The sequence below is a fragment of the Homo sapiens genome, chromosome 12 (genome assembly GCF_000001405.40).
Source record: "Homo sapiens chromosome 12, GRCh38.p14 Primary Assembly".
Classification (NCBI taxonomy): domain Eukaryota; kingdom Metazoa; phylum Chordata; class Mammalia; order Primates; family Hominidae; genus Homo; species Homo sapiens.
The window spans coordinates 103322869-103342353 of NC_000012.12; the positions used below are offsets into that span (position 1 = coordinate 103322869).

At 38.3% G+C, this 19485-nt stretch overlaps 1 protein-coding gene across 43 annotated transcripts in view, besides 1 other annotated feature; it reads right to left on the minus strand.

The window, feature by feature from the left end:
- C12orf42 (chromosome 12 open reading frame 42) overlaps positions 1–19485 on the minus strand; it is a 516167-nt gene that overhangs the window by 275245 nt on the left and 221437 nt on the right. The window lies entirely within an intron of this gene.
- Positions 14001–14160: a silencer, noted in NCBI's record as "fragment chr12:103730647-103730806 (GRCh37/hg19 assembly coordinates)". NCBI's record gives its function as "represses an EF-1alpha promoter that drives an FKBP-Casp9 reporter gene in an ReSE screen in K562 erythroleukemia cells {active_cell/tissue: K562}" and the evidence as "EXISTENCE:reporter gene assay evidence [ECO:0000049][PMID:32094911]".

Here is a 19485-nt window from a genome sequence, read left to right on the forward strand (position 1 = left end):
TTATTACCATCTCTTAGTGAATTCAAAAAACAAAAGTAACAATGACAATGCCCCAGGTAACAATAATGCATGATTGCATATTTCCTACTGGTTATAAAATACTGCTCAGTTCCATTCTATTTGTTCCATTCTGCAGATGATGAAGAAATAGGCTTATAGAAATTAAGGCTGCCCAACTTTTCATTGGTAGAAGCAATCTTCTACACTGGGCTATAAAGTACCTAGAACCATGTCTAGTGCCCTGTAGATGCATATACATATATGTATATATATTTCCATTAGTTTTCCTCCAACTCTTTTTTTACCTCCAAATTCTGGCCTTTTCCTGCTGTATGACTCCTAAATGCTATCAGGGCAACTCCTGAAGCGGATTTCTACAGCCTCCCTTTCTGACTTACGGCAACCCATGATCCTCTCTGCCTCTGTTTCCCATCAGAAAGAAAGACAGAAATAGTTATTATGTTCATCCAACAAAAAGGAAATTAATGGTTGATTAGATGCCTGTTCAACACAGTGAGGATGAAAACCAGTCTTCATGGTGAATTATTGAATTAAGGGGCCAACTTACAGTGTAGCTATGTCTACACAAAGCCAAACATACAGTCAATTCATCCAAAAAAAATACAGTTTAGCAACAGGAAAAATGAAATTAGCAGATCAAGACTGTGCAGACAAAATAAAATGAAGAAGTGAATGTCAACACAATAGCACAGTTATAGTCCTGGCAGAGTTTACAAACTTAAAGAAAGGAGTAAGAATGAGACTTCTGATGCTCACTATCAGAAAAGTAGATGTTCTCTCGAATATGTAAAAGTAGATTCATTACATTTGTGTGAGAGTATATGTTTCTCTCTTTCTTCTGATATTTCTATTTTTGGAATTCAAATTTAAAATGAAAATAAGAAAAAAGAAAGCTAGTATCCAAAGAACTGAGTTACACCCCAGCCCAAGATATTAAAAAGAAATACTCCCTTTGGTAAGCCTGGCATATAACATATTATAATGCAGTCATTCAACATGACTTAGTATCATATTGGATGAATAAATTTTATCTTATTTTCTACAGGGCACAAAGTATATTGAGATGTATTTTATCTATAGAGAGTTCTATATAATGAAATTCATTTGGTGTTCACACTGATTTTCCCACATCCTCTTTAACACTATGGCAAAAAAATCAGAAAATTTTCTTTAAAATGTGTAACTTCTTTACTCTTTAGGTAGCAGTTGTTGATTAGCATTGAAGTGTGTATGTGTCAACTGCACTTTTAGGAGATGTCATTTTAATGTCCTGTATCATTTTTAGATTTATGTTTTAATCATAAGCACTTACAATATTATTATGTTGTAACATTTAGAGCCTATAAACTCTAAATAGGCTCTAAAACTGCAGTAAGTTTTGTAACTACTGATTCAGTAGAGTAGAAGAAGAGATAATAACTTATGAGTAATTTATCACTCTATTAATAATAAAATACAATTAATTAAAATTACAGATATTAATTAATAACTTATTAAGTCTCCGACTCACCCAAAAAAATTAGTCCCAAGAGTTAGACAAAGGAAGCATTCTTGAAAACAAATTGGAAAGTATAGTTTTGTGAACTGAGTCCTGAACCCCAGGAATGAATGCTTGCAGCTGCAACATGAACTGTTTTCTGTTACCTTAAATACTACTGGGCCATATGGAGTATTTTTGAGGACCTGCTATTTTAAAATGTTCTGTTCATATTTTATGCGATTCCATATGTCTCATCCTTACTTCAGAGTTTCTATTCATTTCCATAAAAATAAGATCTTTGTTTTACAAGTGCTCATTTTTCCCTGTCCCCTCATCCCTATTATGGCCACAAATCTCCATTTCGGTTCTTACAGCCACTCTAGGACCAGGTGATTATGGCAAGACTAATACAGAATTATTTGGAAGAAAAAACTGCAGTGGCAGATGATCCATGGGGCTGCAGAGCTCCTGTTTCCCTTGCTCATTCCAATGACCTAACATGGAGGATAATAAACCTGACATTGGTGTTGAACTATTTCAAAATGAATCAAATATTTGCAGAAATTATTGGTGAAACCCTGAAGGAGGTACTGAAGGAAGATATAATTTGGTTAACCGAAAATTAACAAAAATGTGCTTTCTGTAAAAGGGAGCTCCTGATAGTTGGGGTTGACTTCGAGCAATTATCCAAACAAAACAGTTGGCGCCTGTGTTGGCAACTAAGTAGTGTTTGCATAAAGTAGAGAGAGAAGACAAATATGCATGAAAATTAAATTTAGGCCTCTGGGACCACCCTTTTGGGGACATAGAAGAACTGATTACATGTTCACAGCTGGAACTGGTGTTGGCAGGCAGGCCTTATTCATGGGCAGAGAGAAGGACTCTCTTTTTGAACGACGTTCTTGTGGCAAAGCAAGAATGGCAGCACTGAAAGCATCTGATGCTTACAGACCTTAGGCTCTGCGGCCCCACACTGCTCCGATCTGGCATCCAGTCACAGTTATCTCTACCAATAAATAATTATGTGGCTCAAAGTGCATGTGCCTGCCCAACTACAGGTTCTCTCTCACATCATCAGCCTCCCAGACTGCTTTTGGCCACTTTACCATTTAGAAGGTAGCAAGTACGGCTAAGCAAACAGCCAGTATTCTCGATGACAAGAAGGCTGAGTCTTGCCATACTAAGGTTGAAGGTCATGACATCATGCTGAAGCTGCCTTGGGACAAAGTTCTTTGGGTCCTTTAATAAACATAAGTGTGTGCTTTAGCAAGCATTTGTCAACAGTTCTCTCAGCATGGTTGTCTTGGCATCTGTGGTGGTGGTTTGCAATATTGGCCCCAATTCTTCACCCTTCCTTTGCACTGTGACATTGCCCCATATTAAGATAGAGCTTGTTTTCCTCCTCCTTAATCTGGGCTGGATTTGTGGCTTGTTTTACCCAACAGAACGTGGCAGAAATGATATGGAGGGCTTCCTATGACAACTTAAAGCATGGAGAATGAGCATGCTTCCTGTGACAACTTAAAGCATGGAGAATGAGCATCAGAGAATGAGCGATTCTCTGATGAATTGGAGAAAAATGAACAATAGCATCCTAAGACAAGAAAGAGTACATTGTGCTCAATAATAATATTTATTGGACACTCATGATGTGCCAGGAATAGTTCAAACTATTTTACTTGTATTAACTAATTTAATTTCCTCACAACAATTTGATGAGGTTATCATTACCCTCCATTTTTTCAAATAAAGAAAACAAGGCCCATGGTGGTTAAGAATCTTGGCTAATGTCTTACTAATTGACAGAGTCAGGATTCAGACACAAGGTGATTGGGCTTCAGAACCAATATTCTTTCACCATTATATTATGGGGCTCTTGAAAGAATTGAAAGAAGCTCAGCAGAACAAGATAGGCTTGTCAAAGATAAAAGCCAGGACTTCTGCAATAACCTCACAACCAAGGTCCAGCGGCCACTCATAGACTCTTCAGTCTATTCTCCATAGAGCCACCAGGGGGATCCTTTTAAAAGCTAAATCAGATCCTGTTGCTTCCTTGCTCAAGGCCTTCCAATGGCTTCCCATTACACTTACAGAAAAATTAAGATTTATTTTTATGGTCACAAGGCCCTACATGATCTAGCCCCTTCCTACCGCTCTACTTACATACCTTACCACCCTCTGCCTTTTGCACTCCACTCCAGCCACAGTGGCGTTCTTCCTGCTTCTTGACTGCTCCAAGCTTGTTCCTACCCAGGTTCCATGCTTTTGCTGTTCCCTCTGCTTAGAATGCTACTTTCCCAGACATTGACATTGGCTCAATCTTCTTGTCTCCTTCAAGCTGCACAAAACTTATGTCCTCAGAGAGGCCTTCTTTGGTCACCTTTTCTAAAATGACACCTCTGAACTGCACTGCTCTTTCCTTACCCTGTTCCTGATTTACTTTTATTCATAAGACTTAGCACTGCCTAAAATTATATTTGTTTGTTTACTTGTTTACTGTCTGGCTACTGCACTAGAATGTACGCTCCATAAGGCAAGGTCTTTGGCATTTTTGTTTACTGCCTAGACCAGTGTCCAGCATATTAAAAGCACTCAATACATATTGCTAGAAATTGCTTTATTTTAAGAGTTTCAAAATTTGGAACATTAATCAATAACAGAATGCCCAAAGTAGGATATGTAGGAGTATAAGAAATAGTTACATTCCTGGCAGGGAGGGGACGAGGTAGGGGCACAGCAGTTGGAAGCTGGAGATCCCAGGTTCCTGGAATACTCGGGCTGGGACCTTCCGGTTTCTCCTGTCTGCTCCCTACCCCTGTGCCTCGAGTTTCTCCCTAAAGAAGTGGTTTTCAAGCTTCAGTGAACGAGAGTACAGCTTTTGTGTCAGGACCTCTTGGGTAAGAAGCCCCAAGCATGATTCCAATACAGGTATTCTGGGCATAGGGTTGCCAAATTTAACAAATAAAACTATATAGGAAACCAAGTTAAACCTGAATTTCAGAAAAGCCATGAATATATTGCATGTGACATACTGATACAAAAAAAATCTAAATAATAGACTGATTTATATCTGAAAATGCTGTCTGTGGACCACACTTGGAGAAAAAGTGTATAAAAGTAAGAAGTGATATTCAGTCTGGAGAAAGTAAGGTTGGTTGAGGAAAGGCAATGATTTATAGTGACATACAAATATGGAAAGAAAAAGAACCTCTAGTCTCTGTTGCTCTAGAGGACAGAATTAAGACCAGGTGTTGAAGTCACCAGATAAAACATTTTGATTCTCTGGAGAAAGATAATATTTACCATACATACAGGTAGGATGTGGTGGAATGGATTACCTCTCACAGCATCTATCTCTAGGAGTATGCAAGCCATATTGTTAAAATAATTGAATGAATGTTGAAGAAAGGAGTCTGTTCTGGTAGAGAATGGAAATGTCAATTCCAAAGACATTTTCAACACTAGAAATTCAGTATCTGGGAAAGAGTAAGAACAGACCTCCTCTGTATTAAACAGGACTCCATTCATTGCAAGTAACCAGAATCCAACTCAAATGGGCTTGAGCAAAAAATTGAGTTTGTTATTTTGCACTGAAAATTCCAGGAAGATCTTGACTCAGAAATGGCTGAATTCAAGTGTGTAGAAGTGATATCATTAGGATTGACTCCATCTCTCAGCACTATTTTTTTCAGGTTGGCCTAATTCTCAAGCAGCCTCCTTCTTCATGGTGATAAATGGTCACCAGTATTTTAGGTCAACATCATAACATGTTAGCAATCTCATCAAGGGAAAAATATCCCTCCTTTTCAATAGTTCCAGCAAAAATGCAAAGATAACATCTTATGGCCTGCCTTCAGATATCGACCCCTGAACCAATATCACAATGCAGGGAGAACTAAATGCTCTAATAGGACTCATTCAAGTTATGTGCTGATTTCATTGCTGGAAATTAGGAGTAGGCTTAGCCCCACCCAAGTTATAGGAACTGAGAGTCGGGAGGAGGGAGATGTTACTTGAAAAAAAAAATGAAATATTAGTTGCTGAGCAGATAAAAGTAACAAACTATCCTATATCCAAATTCAATCTATGTCAGCTATATTAAATAGTATCATATAGGAAAACAAGATTTTATTAAAGTCATCCTCATCCAGTACGTCCTTCACCATTTCTTCAGCAAATTCCTCTTTCACAATAGGAAGATGCATCTCTTCTCCTCCCCCAAAACTCAATCCTTTCCACAAAGTTCAGTTCCATTGAGTGAAAGCATTTATTGAACAGAAAACATTTTTATTCTCTAGAAAGATAAACTTTCCAGTAAATACCAGTGGGCCATAGTGAAATGAATGACCTCTCAGAGCAGTAGGTTTCCATCTCCAGGAGTATGCAAGCCATGTTATTGAAAGAAAGCTGAGGAAGGGAGTCTGTCTGGGTGAAAGTGAAAATGGCCTAATTCCAACAGTGGGAGTTCAGTACCTTGCAAGGAGTGAGAGATGTGCCTCCTCTGTATTCTTGAACATTTCTGAATTTAAAATAATGATTGAGCCCTTACTCTATTCCAGGTACTATTTCAAATACTGGGAATATGAAGATAACTAAAGCACAGTTCCTGCCCTTCAGAATATCCTGATCTGGTGAGGGTGAAAATAAATTCAGAGGAGATGGTGACATGCAGTGATAAGCGCAGGGATGCAGGCATGCATTTAGAGCTATGGCAGGGACGCAGGCATGCATTCAGAGCTATGGCAGGGACGCAGGCATGCATTCAGAGCTATGGCAGGGACGCAGGCATGCATTCAGAGCTATGGCAGTATGAGGAGGTGGCACATAACCCATCAGGGACACAGAGAAGGCTCTCATTTTATCCTTTTCATCATGCAGGGGCCATATGTTTCTATGAAAGTATTTTTAACATCTCCCAGCATGTCACCTTATAGTTTCAATGGTTACTAAGAAAGTCCAATGAGAACACATGGACACAGGGAGGGGAACATCACACACAAGGTCCTGTCGGTGGGTGGAGAGCAAGGAGAGGGAGAGCATTGGGACAAATACCTAATGCATGTGGGGCTTAAAACCTAGACAACAGATTGATAGGTGCAGCAAACCCCCCTGGCATGTGTATACCTATGTAACAAATCTGCACCTTCTTCACATGCATCCCAGAACTTAAAGTAAAATAAAAATTAAAATTAAAAAAAGAATTAAAAATCTCACTTGTGTGTTAAGAATATGGACTCGGGCCTGCTTAAAAAAAAAAAAAGGCCCAAAGAGACTCAACTAAATGATGCCACTGCTCTTTACAAAACACAAAGGCTTTTAGTTTCTAATGATAGAAGCCTACATATTCATTGTACAAAATTTGGCAAAGAAAAGACAAGGAAAAGGGGGGAAAAGTACATAGCCACTATAAGCATTTTTGTGCTGTTTTTATTCCAGCTTTCCCCCTTTCTATTGCTACAAATAGACAAATATTAATAGAAAATTGTGATAAATATATATTAATATTATATACATAAATTGTATGACACATATGTATATCCACTGACATATCTGTATTATAACTATAATAATACAGATAATTTAGTATTCTATTTTTCACATCATTAGACATTTCCCATGCCAATACATATTCTTTGAAGATTTTTGGAGAGAGAAAAATGTTGTGGGACCTCCTTTGCTCATTTACTCCTTCAATTATAGAAATATATGAAGTATTACATGAAGTATAATTAGCAAATAACCCTCACATAATTTTATAATATCTTTCTTCACATTCAGACCGACAGCAAGCATTATTTATTATTTTTATAGTGTTTAATTGGGATTATATCAGTTACTTTTAATAATCTATTTAAAAGAATTTAATAAGCCTACCCAATTCCAGATGAACCTGTGTACAAAGGATGTGGCTCTTGGTTTTAGAGACTGTATCTGTGTTAAATGCCACTAATAATTGTCATATTGTTTTATCTTATTTTGCAAATTTAAGAATGAGGAGGGAGTTCCATTGGAGGTACGGGAATTACTCCCAGCGGTACATACGGAATTCTAACAGGATTAGTCTCATTAGTCTCAATAAATCCCTCAGTGTTAAATTCTGGATAATCTGTAACCATTAGCTATAACCTGAAGTGGTTGGCTACTTGGGTTCAGAACATACAGGCAGTATATGGGACTGAATTTGTTTCAGATAGTCGGCCATGAAAAGCATGACTCTATGTGAAAGGACAAAGGCCATTTGTCCGCTATCACAACTCTTCTTAAATCTTTATCTCTTGCTTTCCAGGAGTATTATTTTTTGGTGGCCCTCTCTGTTCTAACTCCCCACAGAGCTTTACTTTTCACAACCTATATAATCTTGAATTATAGTTCTCTATGTTCTTACCTGGATTCTCTTGTTTGCAAGGACTATCTATATTTACCACAGCCTATGAATTCCTTAGGGAAAGAGAATATGACTAATATATCCCACCAACAGCTTCAAACACAGTTCTAACACACAGCAAATACCTGATAAGGCAAATGAAATTGAAGTCCGCTACTGAATAAATATTTATCTTACAAAAGTACAGAAAGTAGCCAAAGATAATCAGGGAGCCTAGAATGATATTTAAGACTCATAACTGCTAATACATGGCTTTTTCTTAATAAAATAAACCAATTCTCTAAATAAAAGATATACAGATGCTCTTTGACTTATTATGAGGTATGTGCCAATAAACCCAGCATAAGTTGAAAATATCCTGTCAAACTGCATTTAATATATCTAACTTACTGAACATCATAGGTTAGCCTAGACTACCTTAAATGTGCTCAGAACACTTCCATTAGCCTACAGTTGGGCAATATCACCTAACACAAAGCCTATTCTATAACAAAGTGTTGAATAGCTCATGAAATTTACTGAATATTGTATATTATGTCAATATTGCCATGATTTCACACCACCATAAAGTCAAAAAATTGTAAATCCAGCCATCAGTAAAGTCGAGAACCATCTATAGTATTTCATGATTAACCCTGATCCAATCATCAGCTACTTCAACTGCAAGGAATTATTCATTCATTTCTTCATTCCTTCATCAAATGTTTGAGTAACTGTTTTGTGGCAGAGACTGTGCAAGGTTCTGCTCTTGTTGACTTTACAGTCTGGTGAAAGGACATTAATTCCCACACACTGTCAAGAAGTAAAGGTAAGGCAAGTCCAGGGAGCTGAAGGGGAACAGAGGAGGAACATGTGGTCCCAGTTTACTCATGTAGAGGGTTGACAAGAATTACAATGCAGAGGTAACTGTGTCTTGAAGGACTGCAGGGTGTAGAGACAATGCAAAATTGAACAAAACAACTCTGAGACCACGCAGCGCGGCAGCCGGACACAGGACACCTCTCAGGAGGCTGGGCATTGGCAAGGTTGTCAGCAGCCTAGATACATGGAATTAAATAGATAAGGAGGGTATCTATAGTCATTGCCCACAAGGGGGAAGACACAGGATAGCAGTATAGGCAGGAAGCATGAACTCCTATGGAGAATTAGAACAAGGAAGAGTTGGTTCTATGCAATAGTGAGAACAGGGGAAAATGTACAGCAATGGAACTGGGCTCTGGAGAATGGGGAGGACCTTGATTAATAGAAATTAGGAGAAGGGAATTCTAGGAAATATATAGAAGCAGAAATTAAGAGCATGACAATGAAAGTGGTTTGAGCAAAGGGAAGTATAAAGAAAAGAGGTGTAGAAAGAGAATGAAAAGGCAAAATGAAACCATGCTCACAATGGGGAGTGACTGTTCACTGAGGACCTAAGTGCAGGGATCTGGACTTAGCACTTGACACACACTAGCATGCTTAACATTCACCATCATTCCATTTCACGCGTAATGAAACTGAAGCTTTCTTTTAAAGTAACTTGCTCCAAGTTCATAAAGTAAGTGGTATCCTGTCCAGCACACTCACCATGTAAATTGATTCCCAAAGGCATAAGTCAGGGTGGTACAATTGGGTGTTTGAGCCAATTTCTTAGACAGTGAAGTGCAGACTAGATTGGGGATATGAAATGGGAGACTGAGAACAGCACAGAGATGCAGCTGACACACCCATTTTAAAAGTCCTCAACAAACCAGCTGTAATAGCCACCCGAGTCTTAGTGCTGTGACCATGTTTGATTTTCTTTAATAGCACTCATCCTTACCTGAAAATATTTTGGTTATGAGCTTGTCTATCTCCAGATCAATAGGAGCTTCTTAAAGGAAAGATTGTGTCTAGATTGTCTGCCAATGTATCCTCAGTAATGCCTGTCCCAGGCTACGTACTGGGTAGAATTGTGTCCCCACAAAAGATATGTAAAGGTCCCAACTGCTGGTACCTGTGAATGTGACCTTATTTGGAAATAGGTTCCTTACAGATGTAATTAAGATGTAAGTAATCTATAGCCCATGGACCAAATCCAGTCCACCAATGTCCTGCAAATCCTAAAATATTTACTATCTTGACCTTTACAGAAAAAGTTTGCTGACCCTGGATTAGCAGGTCTGCCCCTCTGTTTTGAGAATCAAACGAACATTTAGGAAGCCACTTTAAACTGTGTAACACATAAGTCGAAGGCTTAGCAGACAAAGAGAAGAATTTCAGATAGTAAGCAATGAAGATGAAAAATGCCGATTATGCTTGTCCCATCAGGCCTTTAAAAAAAATGGCACAAATTTAAGAAGAGAGTGATGGACATTCGCCTAATAACAGTCTGAGCAGGTTCTACATCTCATTACCACAACCTCTAATGTTGCCACATTTCTCCTTCAGAAAGAGGCAGTATAATAGAGTGATTGAGATGATGAACTTTGAAATCAGACAGACCTAGTTTTGAATTGCTTCTCCATTCCTTATTGGCTATCTGACTTTGAGCAAGTTAGTTACTCTCTCTGGGTCTCAATGTCCACATGTGTGGTTGTGATGGTTACATGAGATCATATGTATAAAGTTTTTATAGAGTATTTGTTACATAGTAAATGCTCAATAAATGTCAGTCATTATTGCCATTGTCAGAAACTAGAATTTTACCTGACTTTAATTCACATAACAAGGAACTACAAAGCTCACTCTTTAGAAAAACACAGCTTTAATTTTCCAAATAGTTAAATTATATTAGACTTACTGAAAGTTAAAAATCAATTTCAGAAGCAAGGAAGAAACAAAGAAGAATAAAACCATTTTTTTCCATTTATAGCTATAGCAGATAAACTGTGCCCTGGCTCTAAAAACTCAGAACATCACATCCAAGATGAGTTGAAAAATTATCAGGGTCCTCTTTCAATATTATCTGGTTGTACTAGAACCAAATTTTCAGAGATAGAATTTCAAAATGTAAAAAGATAAAAAAAAAAATTTGGCCTGTAATTCTTCAATCAAGCCACTTTGCTTTCAAAAGCACACAAAATGTGAGTCACTGTCATAAGTATCCAGGACACTCATTTCTCTTTGTGGGGAGTTAGCTTTGGAAATCAATCTCCAGAATTAAGACCATGAACAATGCCTCATATTTACTACAAGAACCAGAGTTATAACAGCAGCATAAGTGCCTGCCTGGGGCTATGACTTCAGTGCCCTAACTTCAAGCGCTGCTTCTTAATTAAAATTTAAGTCACTGAGTGTGAACAATTTTAGCTTAATCTGTACTTTTATGCATATGAATGCTGAGTTAATTTCTAATTGGCAACTTTCACCTCCTTTTTCCATATTGTTTCTTTTGGGACAATGTAAAATCCGAAAAGCATCCAAGTTGTGCCTGTACAATGTTCATATTACTTCCAACTTTGCTGCATCAGAACCTCTGAAGAACAAAAAAATTATAATAACCCACACAAACTCATTTCAGGAGATTGGCGTATCCTGAGTTTAAACCAGCTCTTATCTTAACTTGCCTATGTGAGATTTACAAACAGGAAGAGAACAAATAAGGAGTAATTTAAATTTTAATTTAAAAACCCCTCTATTTTCTTATCCCTTATCAAACTGCCAGCATTTTTCCTACTGACAATGAGTAAGTGTCATTGGCATAGACCAGACCCTACCCAAAACCAAGGAATCTCTTTCATCTAAAACCCTGATCCCTTTAATAAACAAAATACGAAAAGGCAGTCAAAATTACGCTGTGGCTTTATAAAAGAAGGCAGGGAAATCCTCTGAGTACAATTCCCCACTTGTTATTTTCACATACCATGTGACTCCAAGTCATTCTGAAGGATAAAGAGACAGGGCTGCCACTAGATCCCAGCCACGATTTCCCCTGCGTTCCCAGCCCCAGCCCATCTGTTCTCCAGAGGCCACGTGAATGGCATATGTCAAGAGAGTCAGAGCTGTGCAAACTGCCCAAAGAAATCGCTCGGCCAACTTCCCTTTGCTTCCACGGCTTCAGCAATTGTTGCTGCGCCAACCACCATATGGCGAATAATTAGTTTTTCGACCCCACTCAAGAAAAATGTCCGCTTCATTGCCAAGCGTTAGCAATATGTGTGTTAATGAACAGTGGGAGTTGAATGCCTATACATTAACAAAAGTTCTACATTTTTTTTTCTTTTCCAGCTTCAAGCTCTGTCCTCTCCTTTGCTTTGCCCCCTTTCAAGTAGGTGACAGTCTGGAGTCCACAGCATTTAGGAATAAACTGTATGTTTCATTGCTTTGTTTTTATTTTTATTTCTGTGTTTTATGAGAGGCTGGAATCCAATGGGAGATGCCCAGTTTTAACAGCCAAATGTCTTTCTTTTAACAAAACATCTTTAATCTTCTTTTGCTCAAAATGATGCATTCAGTCCATATAAAGATTGGGACATCAGAGTTGAACAACAGAGTGCTTTCTGCCATTGATGCATAAGAGGAGAGTATAAATTATAGTATTAACATTAGAGCCTGTGCTCAAGCAGGATGCACCCTTTTGGCCTCTTTAAATAAACACTTACCTCCACACTCCAATGGAAAATATGTAGGATGCTTTTAGCATAAAGATTTAAGAACCCAGTTAAAGCTTCAAGTTCACTATCCCAAGAATAGAAGCCTTAATAGGCAGATAATTGCTCTCAAGAGGGAAAGATTTTTGTGTGGTCAGAAATAAACATTTATTTAACATATATGGTGCAAGATAAAAATACCTAAGTTTGCATCTATTTTTGCGTTTTCTGGAATCAGGCAACACTGATTTCTCCCACTTAAGCTTGAAGCTAACTGCTTTTTGACCTTGGCCTTCACATTCTCTGCCTGCAGACATACAAACCCTGAGAAAAAGAGACAGGCAATTGAAATGTTCCCTAATGCAATTCTCAAAGAATCTTGCTATAGTTCAGTGGTTCTCAAATATCTTCAGTTTGCAGACCATCCTACCATGGCAGAAGTCCCCAAAGATCCTCCCTCCTATTTGTGGCTGAAAAAGAAATGTTTCGCCAGAATAAATGAGCAGAGGGGTGCTGATTTAATGAGACAGCCAAGAAGAATCTCACAAGCAAAATGCGAATTAGCTCCAGACACAATGACAACTGTTATTTTCTTTTTATATTTGACTCAATTAGAATAATATCTGCATGGCCCTCTAGACTATAAACGCCCTGAGGATACAATTGCTTCTGTTTTGCTCACAGTGTGTCCTCAGCAGCTAGAGCTCAGTACCCAATTGGATGTTGGGAATACAATGCACAAACTTTCAGCAAGTATTTGTTGAATAAATACTTTACTCTAAACAATCTTGAATATTATATGAGACTACCCTAGGAAACACTGGCATTTTGTAGGTCACAGTTGGAGAACCTTTGCCAGTGGGCATTGTAAGGTGATATTGAACATAGCGCCTAGTGGCATCTTTAATTTCATCTAATTAGTATTGTTGCTATCACTGGCCTATATTTATAGTCTTTATGTCTTTCTGTGCCAGAATCTTAATTTCAGAAGATATAGGCTTCATTTTTCATCAGAAAGGCAGCTGATCTGGTGTTTTCCACACACTTTTAGTCAGAAAACTGAGGGGCAATGGCATAATTTAGAAATCATACATCCTGAGATTCACTCCAAGCTTCACCACTGACTAGCTCTCTCTTCATCCCTCTAAGCCTCAGTTTTCTCATGTATTTACAAAGAGTGAGGAGAGAGGAAAAAATAATTCCTATTTTGCAGCATTTTGTGAGTTAGAAAGTAAGTTGGCCTGACACATAGTAGATCTCCTATAGAATGTGGCTATTTTTGAGTGTCAATAAATGAATATATCCTAAAAGCATCAAATATATGTAATCCTGGGGACCATAAAAGCTTTACATTTTAAGGAACTGTTAATAAACACTGACCAAGAACATAAAAGGAGTTGATTAGGGATTGACCGTCTTAATTTGAGCAAAGTCTTTTTTTTATACGCATCAACTCATCAAACACTAAAAATGCATCGCTGGGAAAAATAGGCAGCTTGAAGTGGCTCCCTTTATGGCCCAAACAATGCATTAGAAATGAGTTTCCTTTTGCTCCCCACCCTGAGAAGCATAACAATAACTTGGTTGAACAAAGGGTTCTCAAGGTTCTAGCACCCCACCTTCATCCAGTTGGTGGGTGTCAAACCCAGTTTTAGGTACAACCCTTGAAGGAAGAAGGCTGGGCTGGGGTGAAGTGGCTTCACCAAGGAAACTGCACTTAAGGGAAATACTTCTGCTGCCTAACCAAAAAATGTCATTCTGCAATGTTATGGTTAAATTGTGCTGCATTTGGTTGAAGCAGAGGTGCTGTTCTGAGTGGTCTATGATCAAAAATTAGTCAAGAAGAAGCCAGAATAAAAGTCAACTGTAAACTAGAAAGTAAATGCCTGCAAACATAGTCTGTCTCATGTGCTATCTGCCCCTTTGTGCACAGCTGAAAAGTTTGCTCCTATCTGGTGGCTTATAAGTCCCACTGGAGTTCTGGGGACAAGAGTCTGAGACTGTGAAGAAGAACAGACAGAAAACCTGTGGGGCAAGGTTTTTTTGTTTGTTTGTTTGTTTGTTTTTGATGGAATCTCACTCTGTTGCCAGGCTGGAGTGCACTGGCGCAATCTTGGCTCACTGCAATCTCTGCCTCCCAGGTTCAAGGGAATCCCCTGCCTCAGCCTCCCAAGTAGCTAGGACTACAGGCGCACGCCACCCTGTCTGGCTAATTTTTATTTGTATTTTAGTAGAGACGGGGTTTCACAATGTTGGCCAGGATGGTCTCAATCTCCTGATCTCGTGATCTGCCAGCCTTGGCCTCCCAAAGTGCTGGGATTACAGGTGTGAGCCACCATGCCCGGCCAAGGGGTTTTAATATTTGACATGGACCATATCCCTCTAGGTGGGTATCCTTTAATAAGCCACACACATCCTTGTATGGTAGCCACGCAAACCTTCTCTATTCTCCTCAGAACAAAACCTCATTCCCAGCCCAATACTTACACCACTAAGAAGAGCAAGCCATCCAGTATGAACCCCTTCACAACTCTCTACTCTCTGTCTCCACTTACCCACTTTTTTTTTCTGTGCTCTTTTATTTGCCAAGATTCAATCAAGTCTCTACCTGACCTCATTTCATCCCTTGATACTTCTCCCAAGACCACGTTATATTAATTGTCCATGTTTCTACAGGATATTTTGAACTCTTCTTTTATCTTTATAAATGACTACACCCTTTTAGTTCTATTTAGTTGCAGTCTTATCTTCTGCTTTCCCTTTACCACCAAATTTTGGGAAATAGGTTTCCAATATAGCAGCCACTAGCCGGAGGTAGCTACTAAACAGTTGAGTATGGCCAGTGTAACTGAGGAACTGAATTTTACATTTTACTTATTTTAGAAAATTTACATTTAAATTGCTCCATATCATATGCAGTGGTACAGCCATAAAGTTCTATCTCTTTTGTGCACCACCTCTCTCAAAGCTTTGCTTACCTCCTCTGTACAAAGAAGGACCACAGCTCTCTAACAGAACTAAGAAACAGACTCATGTTTTCAATTTTCCTCTGAAGTTCCACACCAGCTCTCTCAACAACACCTGAAACTCAACATTTCAGATTTTGCATTTTCCTGCTGTGCTTATGCACTTGAAACTGATGTCATCCTGGGAAAGCTTGGAGCAGTGTCTGGCTCTGGTACAGCAAGCGCTTCTAAGAAGGCCTGAAGAAGTGTTTTCCCGGCCACTTGCAATTCTTGCAGTGCATTTAATCTTTACAATTATCTTCTGCCAGATTATATATCTTTGTAGAGCCCCTCCACAAGATAAGAGCCTCCTAAAGTGTTTTTATTTTTTCCCAACATATTCGCCCTTTTTTTTAGAGCATAGATTTATTCTATTGCCTACAGTTCCTGGGTCCCTGGCACTTGTTAAATAAGAGAGATGCTCTATGGATTCTCTGGCTGATTCCCAGGGTCACAAAAACTATTGATGTGTGCATTTGCAGAAAGGGGTGGGATGTAGTCCAGCAGGAGTGGGAACAGGAAAGAAGGAGGAAGAGAGGAGCCATTTTGACTGATTTCAGCACTTTATCAAATCAGGAGCTGAATTCACTTCTGTTATGACACAGACACCTAGCCACAAGGCACAAGCATATCTTGATCTTCTCCTAAAGATACACTAAAAAGTACATTTTTATAAAAAAGCAGCCTGGAATATTCATTCACATTAACATAAATAATTGCTCATGTTTCATCATTTTACTGATTTTTAAACTACAAATAAATTAGATTTAGAATCCTTTCCTTTTCTTAACCTTCACAATAAAAACAATTCAAGACATAAATATTATTTGCATTTGGGCTCTCAAAGGCAGGATGACATATTAAGAAACATATATTATTAGCTAAGTTCAAATACACTTTTTAAAATCTTTTAAGTTCAGGGGTACGAGTACAGATTTGTTATGTAAGTAAACTTGCGTCATGGAGATGTGTTGTACAGGTTATTTCATCACCCAGGTATTAAGCCTAGTACCCATTAGTTATTTCTCCCCATCGTCTCCCTCCTTCTACCCTCCACCCTCTGAAAGGCCCCAGTATATGTTGTTCCCTTCTATGTGTCCATGTATTCTCATCATTTAACTACTACTTGTGAGACCTTGTGATATTTGGTTTTCTGTTTCTGTGTTAGTTTGCTAAAGATAATGGCCTCTATCCATCCATGTCCATAAAAAAGTGGACAAAGGACATGAACAGATACTTTTTAAAATAAGATATACATATGGCCAACAATCATATGAAGAAAAGCTCAACATCACTGATCATTAGAGAAATGCAAATCAAAAGCACAATAAGATACTATCTCACACCAGTGAGAATGGCTATTATTAAAAAGTCAAAAAATAACAGATGCTGGTGAAATTGTGGAGAAAAAGGAACACTTATACACTGTTGGTGGGAGTGAAAATCAAATACACTTTTGTTATATTTCATTTAGGTGCTATGGATACTCTAACAAGATCATAGCATTTTGGAACTTCAAGTTATATTCAGAAGTTCATCTGTACTCAAATAATTCACTTGGAATTTAAATAAAAGAAACTACTGTCAAATTAGAAAATACTTAGCAAAGTTCCTGAGAAAGAATAAAAGACTTCTTAACAGCTGCTACAAAAAAAATTAGCGTGTCAGTCTAAAAGCACAGTGAACCCAGAAAGATGGGAGAAAACAAGGTAATCCCTAAGATTATTTAGCTTAGCCCCTTGAAAGAAGTTTACTGCTGTGACACAGGGAGGGAACCATGGCAGAGCCTCATGGACTCCTTGAGTTGAGGAGAAAAGAGGAGGGCTGGGGAGAGCAAAATGGGTAGTGTTCTTGGTGAAAAATACTAAGAGAAGAGCGCTAAAGAGAGTGAGTTCTCCAGGAGTCTATAGAGGGTCCCCCTCAAGTATTCAGCAGAGTATTGATCAGTGAATGGCAGCGAGGAAACTGCTCTAAGTTAAAAAGAACCCATCCAAAAGGATTAGTGGGAACTCAAGTAGGGCCAGGAATGGTGCCTGTTTTCACCAGCCAAACTGGACAACTTCATAATTCATGGGGCACTGGATAGTGTGCTCAAAAGCGTCTTGCCTCAGTGATGGGGAATTAGCCTAAGACTAACTGCTTCTATTGTCCTGACTTAATAAAACTCTTAAAAGCAAAACCCAAAAGAATCATAATGTTACTGAGTAACTTAACTGTATCACAGAATAAAGCACAAGAATATTTATAAGAAGGCAAAAATATCCAGCACCCAAAAGGGTAAAATTTGCAATGTTTGCCATCTAATCAGTTCTTACCAGGGAGGCAAAGGAGCAAAGACATTAAAACAGTTATAACTCTATTCCATAAGTTCAAAATATTAAGTAGAGACAGAAAGACCTTTTAAAAGACTCAAATTGAGGATCTAGAGATGGACACTAGAACGTCTGATATTAAAACATACTCTGGATGGCAGATTAAACATTGCAGAAAGAAAGGTTAGTTGAGCTGAAGACACAGCAATAGGCTGGGCGCAGTGGCTCACGCCTGTAATCCCAGCACTTTGGGAGGCCTAGGCGGGGGGATCACGAGGTCAGGAGATCGAGACCATCCTGACTAACATGGTGAAACCCAGTCTCTACTAAAAATACAAAAAATTAGCCAGACATGGTGGCGAGTACCTGTAGTCCCAGCTACTTGGGAGGCTGAGGCAGGAGAATGGCGTGAACCAGGGAGGCGGAGCTTGCAGTGAGCCAAGATCACACCACTGCACTCCAGTCTGGGCAACAGAGCAAGACTCTGTCTCAAAAAAAAAAAAAAAAAAAAAAAGACACCACAATAAAAATTATCCAAAATAAAATTCAGACAGAAAAAAATAATTTTAAAAAATTTAAAAATATTGCCAGGCATGGTGGCACATGCCTGTAAGTCCCAGCTACTCAGGAAGCTGAGGTGGGAGGATTGTTGGTGCCCAGGAGCTGAAGGCTATAGTACACTATGATCGCACCTGTGAATAGCTACTATATCCTATCCTTGGTGACACAGCAAAAACCCTCCTCCAAAATTAAAAATATTAATAAGAATATCAAGAAGTCCAATACATGCACAATTGGAGGTCACAAAAGAGAGAGTTAAATGTGAATACCATAAACCCCAAAGCACCACTGAAATAACAAAACAAAGATTTACAGATAATGAGCCAACAAAGATGATGAAATGGAATCATAAAATATCGATTAATACAAAAGAAGATGGAAAAGAGACAAAAGAACAGAGAACAAATGAGACAAATGAATGCAAATAAGATGATAGCCTTAAACCAAACTAAAGTAATACTCACAATGTAAGTGACCTAAACACCCTCAATTAATAGACAGAGATGTCAGATTGACTAAACAGTGCAAGACCTACCTACAAGTTGCCTACAAAAAGCACATTTTAAATATAAAGACATAAATAGTATTAAAGTAAAAACATAGAAAAAGAAAGCCCACAGTAACATAATCAAAAGAAATCTTGAGTGGCTTATATTAATGTAAAAGTATATTTCAAAGAAATAAACATTAAAGACGAAGAAAGTTTGGTAATAATGATAAGGAGGACTTCTCAGCCTCCATAATCATGTGAGTCAATAGTTAAATAAATCTTTTCTTTTCTACATCTATGTATAGCTTATGTGTCTGTTTCTCTGGAGAACCCTGACTAACAGAATCGAGAGAGAGAGAGAGATCTATTATAAATAGATAGATACATAAATAGATAGATAGACAGATAAAATATCTACACCAAGCTGACCAGTTTGCAGGCACATCTGAATTTTTACAGACCCTCTATGTAGTGGGGTGCAAGGGTAGATACCTCTGACATAGGACAAAACTCAAAACTTGAGTTTATGGGCTCCTCAACCTTTTAACTTGATGGGCTCCTCAACCTTTTAACAAAATTTTCTAACAACTAAAAGCTGTAGAGATATCAAGTGACTGAAGACTTCAACTTTTACACCATCTAGTCTGGGATATGTTATTTTACCCTTACGATACCTAAACG